The sequence below is a fragment of the Homo sapiens genome, chromosome 9, assembly GCF_000001405.40.
Source record: "Homo sapiens chromosome 9, GRCh38.p14 Primary Assembly".
Classification (NCBI taxonomy): Eukaryota; Metazoa; Chordata; class Mammalia; order Primates; family Hominidae; genus Homo; species Homo sapiens.
In genome coordinates, this window is record NC_000009.12 from 97,673,871 (window position 1) to 97,686,134 (window position 12,264).

At 36.5% G+C, this 12,264-nt stretch overlaps 1 protein-coding gene across 8 annotated transcripts in view, besides 1 other annotated feature; it reads right to left on the minus strand.

The window, feature by feature from the left end:
• The window catches only part of XPA (XPA, DNA damage recognition and repair factor), a 42,943-nt gene that overhangs the window by 19,473 nt on the left and 11,206 nt on the right, over window positions 1-12,264 (minus strand). For 4 of the 8 annotated variants that reach the window (NR_149091.2, NR_149092.2, NM_000380.4 and 1 more), the window contains 2 exons: window positions 11,053-11,170; window positions 1,039-1,717 (listed from right to left, as the gene is read on the minus strand). Coding sequence is in view for 3 of the 8 variants with exons in the window: in NM_000380.4 (NP_000371.1) it covers window positions 1,569-1,717; window positions 11,053-11,170 (267 nt within the window). In the remaining 5 variants the exon portion in view is untranslated. Of the gene's footprint in view, window positions 1-1,038; window positions 1,718-1,900; window positions 2,090-8,329; window positions 8,561-11,052; window positions 11,171-12,264 lie in introns of those variants that run through there. The other 4 variants (NR_149094.2, NR_149093.2, NR_027302.2 and 1 more) reach the window with 3 other exon arrangements.
• Window positions 1,863-1,932: an enhancer, noted in NCBI's record as "active region_28674". NCBI's record gives its function as "activates an Ori minimal core promoter by ATAC-STARR-seq in GM12878 lymphoblastoid cells {active_cell/tissue: GM12878}" and the evidence as "EXISTENCE:reporter gene assay evidence [ECO:0000049][PMID:35858748]".

The following is a 12,264-nucleotide window of genomic DNA, read 5'->3' on the forward strand; positions in this document are numbered from 1 at the left end:
GTAAGGGTGTAGAGGGTGAATAGAAGCATCCCTTAACTAGACAAATCTATTTTCTGTAACATAGTGGCCTTGGTAATACATGCTCATTAACTAGTGGTTATTATGTGCCAGGTGCTATAGGTTCACCCTATTAACTACTTCAAACAGTCCTTTGAGATGATTATGCCCTCTTTACAGATAAAAACAGGTTTTGGAGTAATTTACCCACGGTCCACAGCTAGTAAGTGGAATTTGAACCTAGATCCAGTTGGCCCAAGAGCTCCTTCCCCGCCCCCATAATGCTCTTACAACAACCTGAACCCCTAGTTATTCTGTTGTCATCATCTGTTGTCATCAAGCTGAAAGCTTTTTTCCCCAGAGACATCTTGCTGCCCATTCAGAATCAATTTTTACTAAGCTGTAATATTTAGCATAGCACGTATTAGTCATTGAGTGTGAAGGTGTTTAAAAAAAAATCAAACTTGAAAAATACACAAACATTTCTGTGTAGTCTGAATTATTTGGACATGACTTGTTTTGACTTAGCCTTTCTCCAAGCATAATCTCCATTAAAGAAAAAAAAATGGAAATGTTTAAACTTCCTATTCTATTTGTACAGTAGGATAAAATGTCATGTCAAACAATTTGAAAATATCAGGTTATTTTAACTAACTGGAATTTGTTTTTGTCAAAAAATAATGCATAGACCCAATAATTCTTTTGACAAGCTACAGGAAAATTTCACTAAAGTTGATGCAGATGCCTGCGGTGATGTGAGACTTCACCTTCCTTTCCTTAGAAGTCTGAAAGCAGCATGGAAGCAAGCCTGGGACTAAATGAACATACTCCTAAGGCACTTAGGTGCATGCCTGGCACCTGGTTGGTAAATGCTCAGTAAATGTTAGCACTACTTAAAATAAACATCAGTGCCTTCTTTGATCAACAATCAGATAGTCAACCATGAAAACAGCTCTTTTCCATTTTAATCCAGCATTTAAAAAGCTATCTAGACTAATGTTAAGTCCCACAATAGAGGCCCCAAGAGTACAGAAAACATGATCAGACTCGTACAACTCAATGTTTATTTCTGCTATTAGGGCTTTTTCCAGCAGTAGTTCCCCACTGTTTCCACCATCGTGGAGACAGAAATCGTCCTAAAAAACACATGACTAGAACCTGGGGTACAGTGGTGCACCACCATTGCTATTATTTGTTTCTTGGTTAAGAATCCAGTTCAGCCTTTGTTGAACCCTTTTCCCTCTACCCCAATCTAGGGTTTGCCTTGGTATCTTGTCCTCAAATTTGTAGCTGACCTACCACTTCTGCACCTACTCTAGCACTCAGCTCCCATCTCTGTTGTAAGAAGGCAATCACAGACATGACATTGTGCACACAACCAGGCCAGGTGACCTTCACTGAAACTTGCTTTTAAGCCATAACATACATAATTATTACTGAAGTATTACTTATACAAGGGTTTCATTCATCTATGAAGATGTTGCTTTTTTTTTTGAATTTTGAAAAGGACCAATCTAAATTTCCTTTATTTAAATATAAAATTCTATAAAACAGGTCACTGAACTAAAAAATCACATTTTTTCATATGTCAGTTCATGGCCACACATAGTACAAGTCTTACGGTACATGTCATCTTCTAGGTTTTCTTCTGGTCCATACTCATGTTGATGAACAATCGTCTCCCTTTTCCACACGCTGCTTCTTACTGCTCGCCGCAATTCTGAAAAAAAAATTTTAAAGTCATCTTTTCAGTGGTGCTATTCAGGTGAATCCAAAAATCCAACTCCATCAAGCTTTCAGCCATGTACATGTGTGTGTGTCTATGTGTATTTAAACCATATATAGTTTACCTTAATTTTATAACAAAGTTGATTATACAAACTTGGCAAACTTACTTTCTTACCTCACTAGTTCGGCCTGTGAATCAAGTTGTCACTGGAGCAGTGTGAAACAAGAGATTCAGAAATGGTTATGTGGGTTGGTGGTATGCAAAACAGAACCATATTCAGAAGTGAGTTGAGTAACACAATAGGACACATTCAGGTACGTTTGACTTCAGATAACAGAATGCCACAGTAGGAAAAGGAGTCAGCTGAAATAATTAAGAAAAAGGAGTGTTTTTAAGTTCCTGTTAGGAGCTACGTCAATAAGCATCAAGTCAAGCTTTGCAAGAAAACTAGAAAGTAGAGAACTCTACCACTATGCTGGTATGTTTTCATCTTAGAAAAAGTGCTTGTGCAATAAGACCTCAAGTCTGTTGAAGTTCTTATAAGATGACAGCATTATTTTAGGAGAGGGCTAAAAATAAGAATCACAGAATGTTAAGAGCTGGAAAGAACCACAGAGTTTTGATTTTACTTCACTTTATTTTGCAAGTAGGGAAACTGAGCAAAGATAGTTTAACTGTGAAGCCAGGACACTGGTCATATTCTAATGTTTGGAGCTTTTTCTGCTACTTCGTGTCAAAATCATTTTACAAAGAAAATTATATTGGGTTCTTTGAAAGCAACCAAGTAAATCATATTTTAATAAAAAGCAACACTTTACACTTCTATTCTCACCAGTGATCCACCCAGTTCTTCATTATCTTTGACAGTGGCATTACCTAAGGGAGATTATGATAGCTGTCTTGTATAATCTCAGCTATAAAAATAACATACATCAAGTAATCACATATTTTCCCTGATCCATTTTAGATCTATAAGTAGTATCAAAATACTACTTGAACCTTATTTTCAGCTTTTATGAGGATGAAAACACAGGGCTATGTATAAGGCAGTGTTCTTACCACTTTAAATGCATTTAATCCTCACAACCCTTTAAGATAAGTAGAATTACTCCAATTTTACAGATGAGAAAACCAAGGCACAGAGAAGTTATAAGTTGCTCAAGGTTATATAGTTGATGGATACCTCTAGCATGAAAAGTACTTTGACATTATTTTAGTGCATATACCTCTAGATAGTTTTTGGTCTGGAAGAAAAAAATGTTCATCCAAACTCTTCATTTCTTTCAGCATCCTCTCATATTCTGAAGACCTTGGTTTTTCTAGATATAGATCTGGAATGCCCTCCTTCCTTTAAATTTTACTTAGGATATTTTCTAAATAAAAAATGATATGCTAACCAGAACTCCACAGATGCCCTCTGGTTTCAGATAATGTAAGGAAGATGTTGCCTACTTGAATTCTAATACCTGCTTTTCAACTTGGTTCTCACCTTATCCCACTGAAAATCCTACAAAATTTTACTGCAGCGCAATCATGCTAAACTAACTTCTCTGCCTAATTTGAATATTATGTGTACTTAAAAAGAGGTACCAAAGAAAAATTTTCTGAATACTAAAAAAAAATACTTGTAGTAAAAGTCTGTCTGTCTAGCCATAATTGAACCTAAGGTTTTACATTGACTTTGACTTTTTCTCCCCACTCTTCAGCCAGTATGTCAGGCTATATAATGGTGAGAATAAAGCCATATCTTTAATACTTACTAGACATTCCTAGAAAAACTTGTGCCAGAAAGTAAGAAAGTATTCGGGGCCAGGTGCAATGGCTCATGCCTGTAATCCCAGCACTTTGGGAGGATTACCTGAGCCTGGGAGTTCAAGACCAGCCTGGGCAACACAGTGAAACCCCAATCTCTTAAAATAAATAAATAAAAAATTAAAAAAATTTTTTTAATTAGCTAGCCACGGTGACATGAGCCTGTAGTCCCAGCTACTTGGGAGGCTGAAGTGGGAGGATTGCTTAAGCCGAGGAGTTTGAGCCTGCAGTGAGCCATGATTGCACCACTGCACTCCAGCCTAGGTGACAGAGCAAGACTGTCTCAAAGAAAAAAACAACAGAACATAAGAAAGTATTTAAAAATGGATAGGTTTGGGTTTTTCTTTTTTTTTTACCCTTCTTTCCCTTTCTGAACAATCCAGTCCTATGGAGCAAGCAAGCATCCATAGGAGGGTGAGAGAGCCCAAGAAAAAGGGCTCCCTCCAGAAGAGGAGGCAGCAACAGTAATGGGAATTAGTCACACATAGGGCTTTGATCAAGTCACTATATTAAGGATCATGGGAGCCACCAGGTTTCTCATCATCCAAAAAGCCAGTATAAGTAAAACTAAAATGAACCATGAAATTTTAAAACTGGATGTATCAGTGTAAACTCAAGGTTTACATATATTTATAGACAGAGACATAGAAATACAGATACATGTGTTGTGCTAGAAAGCAGAAAGGAGTGCTCAAGAAATGATGACATAAGGCTGGGCATGGTGGCTCACGCCTATAATTCTAGCACTTTGGGAGGCCGAGGCAGGTGGATCACCTGAGGTCAGGAGTTCGAGACCAGCTTGGCCAATATGGTGAAACCCCATCTCTACTGAAAACACAAAAATTAGCTGGACATGGTGGCATATGCCTGTAATCTCAGCTACTTGGGAGGCTGAGACAGGAGAATCGCATGAACCCGGGAGGTGAAGGTTGCAGTGAGCTGAGGTTGCGCCACTGCACTCCAACCTGGGTGACAGAGCAATACTAGGTCTCAAAAGTAAATAAGTAAATAAAAAAAGTAAGGAAATGACATGTCAAAAGATACAAAAGCTAGTCACTAGGCCAAATCAGACCATTTGAGCAACAAAGTAAGGACAGAAATGAACCAAAGCCACTGGAGAAAAACAGAAATTAATGAATTCATACCAATGATAAGTAAATGGGGCAAAGGATGCTGCAGAATGCTGACTGCCAATTGCTTAAATGCAGAAGGAATGCTGGAATTAGAAGACAGTTCTTATAACCATCATACTAAAGACTGGTTCTAGCAAGCACCATCAATGGATGGACACTAAATCTAGGGGGATACAATTTCTTTTTGCTTATCAAATCAAAATCAGAATTACCACTGAGGGCTGATAGACATCAGTGCCTCCAGATATGAGGCCCGGAGAAAAGCACATCACTTACTGTCCCTAGCCTGAAATGCATACCCTGCATCCAACCAGCAGGACACACCAGAAACTGCCCCAAGTGAGAAGCATGTTTTGAAGGGCAGGGCAGGGGAAGCAGACTTTTCTTCAAAAATGTCAATGTCATAAAAAATACGAGCTGTGTAAATATCCCAGAAAAGTTTAGAAAGACTTGGTACCTAAAGCCAATACCCAATCCTAGACTGGATTCTGTTCTAGAAAGGAATTACTAAAAAGAACATTAGATCAACTAACAAAACTAGAATATGGAGGGCAGATTAGACATAAATACTAAATCAATGTTAAATTTACTCAAGTTAACAATATACTTTGGTTATGTAACAAAATATATCCCTATTAGGAAATATACACTGTAATACTTAAGGGTAAAGGGTGGTGATGTATACAACTTAGTCTTAAATGGTTCGGAAAAAAATAAATACTGTGTATGTATAGAAAGAGCATGCAAATGATGATGCAAATAGCATAAAGTGTTAACAGTAGGTAATCTGGAAAAAGGATATATGAGTGGCCCTTTGTATTATTATCCTTGCAATTTTTTATAAGTTTGAAATATTTCCAAACAAAATAGTTTAAAAAGACAGGAGCTACCTTGAAGGGGATTCTACTGGGCAAATTTTGGACAATTTCAACACCAAAATGAATCATGACTGGAATGGACTATAATACATTGACTTCAGAATAAGAAACAATCAGTCCAGCTGATGCTTAAAAAAAAATCAGTTTCTAAGAGAAGAAAAGCTCTTCTTTCCAAAAGCCAAATAACAATTACAGAAAGTGAAAGAAATAGAAAATCACCATTTATATCCAATATAATAACTAAAGTAAGACTCAGCCCTGTGTACTAAAACCACTGAGTGAAAGGTAAGGAATGAGATATTCACATAGTATTAGATTTCTCACTAATTACAAAGGATAAAGGGTACCTTTACAATGGAAAAACCTGGCAGACACCACCTTAACTAAGCAGTCAAACTACCACTCCCTTAAAAGACAGAGCTGGTACCATGTGTCTACTGATAAATGCTCAAACACATCACCTTGAAAGTATTCCTACCAAAAACATTCGACCTGAGTCTAACTGAGGAAACAAGCAGCTAACAAATCTGAATGGAGGGACACACTGAACAGCAGCTGGCCTGGGCACTGCAAAATGTCAATGTCGTGAAAGACAAAAAAGGCTGAGGGACTAGTTTAAAAGCAGCTATCAATATGCATCATCCTTGAATAACACCTGGATCCGACAAAAAGCTGTAAAGGACACCAAAACAACTGGAGAATATTAAATTATACACAAGGTAGCAGCATTATATTAATGCTAAGTTTCTTGAGTATGATCGTTGTTCTTTAGCTATGTAGAAGAACACCATTGTTTTTTGTTTTTTGAGACAGGGTTTCACTCTTGTTGCCCAGGCTGGAGTGCAATGGGGGGATCTCAGCTCACTGCAACCTCCACTTCCCAGGTTCAAGCAATTCTCTTGCCTCAGCCTCCTGAGTAGCTGGGACTACAGGCACACACCATCATGCCCAGCTAATTTTTGTATTTGTAGTAGAGACAAGATTTCACCATGTTGGCCAGGCTGGTCTCAAACTCCTGGCCTCAGGTGATCTACCCGCCTCGGCCTCCTGAAGTGTTGGGATTACAGAAGTGTTGGGATTACAGGCATAAGCCACTGCTCCCAGTCGAATGCCATTGTTCTGAGGAGAAACATGCTGAAGTGTTTATAAGAATCACAATGTCTGCAACTTAAATGGCTTGGCAAAATATGTGTGTGTGAAAGAAAAAGTAAATATGGCAAATGTCAACATCAGGTAAATAAAAAAAATTTAAGATAAATACTTTTTTCACATTACTTCATTTAACAACTTAAAACTTAGGAAAGCAGAAATCAACTACCTACTGCTGAGAATGAGAAGGAGGTAGTTTTAAAAACAAGGTAAGGCTTTAGAAGAGTGAAAAAAGGTCTGTAGGTCTGAAATCGACTTTCGGGGAGCTGAGGAAACCTGGGGTGGGTGCAGGTCCTACGCAGTACTGAAGGCCTAATTGAAGCTGGAGACAAAACAGTGGTTTACCACGTTCCAACCTCCTAGTTCCATTGGCCTAGAATTTCACAATGCTGGAAGCTATTAACTAAGGACTGCCTTTCATGGAAATTTATAACAATTTTCAGTGTAAGCAGTCTTGTTACTGATATATTCAGGGACTGCTTATACTTTTTACAGACGAAAAAATTCTCCTAAATCCTTTTTTAAATGAAAATGTTATTTTATACCAATCTAAAACTTGTATTCAGTTTAACATCTTGGTTTTGCAAAAGAGGTGGTCTGTATTCATGGAAACCCAATGCTGCTTCTGAGGTAAATTTAAAAGACAACTAGCTGCGAGAGACAAGATACTTCTAAATACTTTATGGTAGGACAGTAAGTATTGACTCATGGTGCCCCTTGTTAACAGGAGGAAAAAAAATTACAAGGAAAAGACACAATGACAATATGATGCTTTGGTCTTCTTTAGTCCTCCATAAACTAAAGCAGAGTAACAGAGAACTGAGTCTCCCGAACTCTCTTGAGAGATGACTCCAGAGTCATAAATATAACCACAGGCCCACAATGTACAATGTCCACAAACTTGGGACCCCCATAAGAGATTTCTTACCTACCTCTTTTGGGAGGAAAGTACATAGTAATAAATAATGAAAATGAATTTATTTTCCTTTTTTTAGAAGGGTAACCTCTACCAGTATGGAATAAGAGAAAGCTGGTATAACTAAAGAAATGCCTTATCTCTACCTTATTTATAGAGTAGACATGCAAACCCAAAACGTTCTGTACATTTGAACCAGCTGAACGTTCCCATCTAATATTAAGGCCTGTGCATCCTGAAGTTTTGAAATCAAAACATTTCTATATTCTGTAACTGATTTCTGTAATGTGTAACAGTCCTCTCTTTCAGACTCCTTAAGATGCCTGTTCACTACTTTATCCTTCAAGGCTCTCCTTGCTACTGAAGAGAGGAAGGACTGGTGTAGGGCACTGAAAAGATTAAAAGGCCAAATTCAAAAGAACTCTCCAAATACTCTCTATCGGTCCTTTGAATATTTTGATACAGAGTTTTGATACCAGTTAAAAAAACTGAACAGCAGTTTCTGCCTTGTATCTAACAAGGCAGAACAATTTGAATTCACTAACAAGAAAACACTTTCTTGTCTTTCACCTTATTTTTATCTATCTATCTATCTATCTATCTATACACACCTTATACTATTTAAACTGTAAAATTCTTTTTGGTAGTAAGATCAATTCTCAAACTGCTAAAGTAGAAGATCATATTCTCAAAGCAGGTAAATATAATCTCTTACCTTCCCATAAAGAAGTAAACTGTGTCAGCTTCTTTGTGGATCAAAATCAGAAGACCAAGAGGAACCAGGTTCCAATTTCTTTTCAACTAAAATACTTTTAGACTTGCTTTTATTCCTCTCTGTTCTGAGCCTTCTGAGAAAACTGCACAGTAAGCTCCTTGTGTCTAATCTCTACAGTGTCTACTCCAGTCTCAGCCCTTTGTGGCCTATTCAGGAAGGCGGGAACAACCTCTAAAGTAAATCAACAAGAAGCCATAATTAAAGAAGGCATCACACTGACCTCTCTGCACATTAAACACCAGAAGACAGTGGAGTAATGTTACAGAACTTAGGTATTCATATGCACAAAAGCAGTAAAACATTTCTATTTACAGAGACACTTGGAAAATATATCACTCATGTAACCACTTTGGAAAATGTCCTCAAAAGACATCCTTCATTCAAATAACAAGCGAACTGAAAAAGAAACCAGACCCAAGAGGTCTAACTCTATGAAAAACTTCAGGGCAAATTCAAACTCTTCGAAAATGAGGACAATTGACAGTAGCTTATCTGGTGATTAACAGCAGCAATTTAATGTAATGAGAAAAAAAGCTAATTATATTAAAGTTTATATTTCTTTAAAAAGTAATACCAGTGAAAACTAAATCTTTTAAGAGTTCTGTTCATACTACTAATATATATGCCACATAGAATTCTTATTAAAAAAAGCATGTGATGAAATGGATGCCATCATCTTTCAATCTGTTTGTCAAATTACAGGAATTTAGTTACCATTAGATGACACTGACCAAATTACAGAATTAGTATCTAAGAAAGTACAGACAGCCCTCGTTTTAAAAAATATTTCATCACTTTGCAGATACAGGTTTTTAATTAATACTTATTATTTTATCCATGTATTATTATCTGCACCAAAATACCACCTGGAAATGGTTTAAGGAGGCAGCAAAGAGGTAAGAGTTGAGGTGATTTCAGGTAGCTGGAGTTAACAAAAAACCCTAGGCTAGTATATAACTAATCTATCACTCTGTCCTCCCTTTCGCACCTCTTAAAATGCCTTTTCACTACTTTATCTTTCAGGGTTCTCCTTGCTACTACAGAGGAAGGACTGGTGTAAAGCACTGAAAAGATTAAAGGGCCAAATTCATCAGAACTCTTTCCAAATCCTCTCAATACAGCAGTGGCTAATTTTGGGAAGGTTCTTTAATGAAATGCTCTTATATGGCACAGCTTATTACAGGAAACCTCTCTACAAAGCCATGAATGTGTGCCTTACCTTGTGATTCAGGAATTGCTAAGTAACTATATAAAAAGATGTGTATAAGGATGTTGATCATGGAGTTGCTTAACTTCGTGTCAAACAGTGCTTCCATTTTTATTTTAAAAAAAAATTTAAGGATCTTAGGATAGAAAAGAACAGGAAGAGCAAAAATTAAAATGTTGCTGATGATTGTCTCTGAGTAGGAAAATCATGCAATAAGAGCTCTTTGTAATTCTCTTTTCTGCACTGTAACTGAATTACACTTGTAATGACAAAGGAAAAACAAATCCTCACAATGAGAAGGATTACAACAACTTGTGTTCCTCACAACAAGGAAGGCTTACATTCAATTTTTGGTTTTGCTTTTTTGTTTTTAAGACATCTGACCTTATTCACTCTCCAAAACCACTTATGAATCCTAAAAACATGAGCAAAATTATATGGATAGGACGTTCACTTTCAATGAATTAATTTAGTATATATATAAAACCGAATATATACATAAAGTATGTGTTATCTCTACACACTGTACACTACAATGGGACTCTGCATAATTACTGCATGAAGAACATGTATGTTTCCTTTTTTAAGACTCTTTTAGGGATTCTGTGATAGAGCACAAAGTGACCTCTGTGCTCCTGCAGCACCGCACGTTCATCACTATCATGGTACCTAGCACACTTGCACGATTTTAAGTTTCTCTCCTGACAAACTCTGACTCCAGAATTTATGTTAGCACAGTGCCTGGCACATAGCTGACACTTAGTAAATACTGGATGTATTGATGGATGGATGGATGGATGAACATACAGACAGACTTAACAGACATACATACCTGGATGGATAACAGGGACAAATTAATGCAGCGATAGATGGACAAGGGAATGCATGCAAAGACAGATGCATGGATAGAGAAATGACTACTTCATGGAGACTTTCAGTCAAAAAACCCTGCTTCCAGTCCCAACTCTGCCAATAACTATCTACATAACAAGTCACTCCACCTTTCTGGGTCTTTTGGTCATATATAAAATAAAAGTTCCTTCTAGCTGCTGAATTAGATGACTAAGACTTAGGGCATGGCTTTTCATTTTAAGCAATTAGAGGGGATTGTTGGTAGGTGTGTTTTTTATAACACACCTGTTGATCATACTTAAGATTTAATTGATGCCAAATCCTTGACCAGTGATACCACTCCTGATCCTCACATTGTTCCTATATAAAAACATGATTCACTTTAAGATGATGACGTACATGCTTTTCAGAAATGTCGTACTGTGAGGTTTGAGCTTAGTGCCTTGAAGACCAACATACTGAGGGCAAACTGTAAGTCATTTTTTTCAACCTCTAAAAAACACATTCCAATCTATTGGTGACATTAAACAGGAAGAATCTAGCTAAAGGCTTTTTGCAAAATGGTAAAACACAATCCTTCACGATATAAAATGTGGCCATCTACCTTTTACTTTTTTATCAAATTTCTTCTGTTTCATTTTTTCTCGGTTTTCCTGTCGGACTTCCTTTGCTTCTTCTAATGCTTCTTGACTACCCCAAACTTCAAGAGACCTCTTCACAATCTACAACACAAAATCCATATTTAAATAAGTTGTGATTCAGACTTGCGAAATATTATAGTTATAACTGTCAAATCCAAAGGTACCAAAGAATGATCTAACTCAAGTATAAATTTATAAATACTTATTAGAAATTTAAAGATTTTAAATATTAATGATCAGAAACAACTCTAATAAAACATCTATCTAAACCTATGAAACTGTCAGTAAACGTATGCTGAATTAGATTATAAATAGAAAAGTTGTCCTCTGACTGTATTGTCACAGGAATCAAAAGTACACGTGGTCAGTGAGTTTGATCAACTGTGGTGGGCTCACCAAAGAAACAGTTTGTTGACAGATTAGCCACATCAGACCTAAATATGAGGTCATCTCCAAAAATCTCCAACCGCAGGAAATTACCAATTACTACTACTCATCTCCTTCAAGATCAATAATTGTCTCTATCGACTTGACTTCTGATCTGCAGGATATATTTTTTTTTAATTTTGGTACCAAGATGATGTAAAAAGTCTTCATTCTACTTTTAAAACTTTACATTATATACCTTTACTCTTTATAGTATTTACTTAGATTTTAAGAGAATTTACACACTAAGAATTATGCTCAGGATACCTCTCACAATATGTTAAAAGGACCATAATATTAATCAGCATAGCCAAACTCAAATTTAACATAATCAAGTGATACACTCATATTTCGTATATTCTGAGACATCACGTTTTCCGCAATTTAACATCCCTGAAAATGCTGCATCACCAATGCACTTAATGGTACTTTAACAACTGTGAGTCAAAAAGTGGTGCAGAAGAATTGGACTCTGAATGTAAAGTTTAGGAATACCTTCATAAGTCTTTTGCACTTGCATTTTCCCTTTTATGTGTGCAAAAGTCGTGATATATGACAAACTATAATAAAGTCTAATGGCACTATTTCACCAAGTATAAAAAGCATCAAGTGATAAGAAAGCATATGTTGATTTTAATCAGCGGCATTTAAAAATATTTAATGGTACATAAAACAATAGTGAATGTTCTAATCAACAGAATCTTAGTATTTAATGAAATTCAGTACACGTTTTGTTTTACAATATGGCT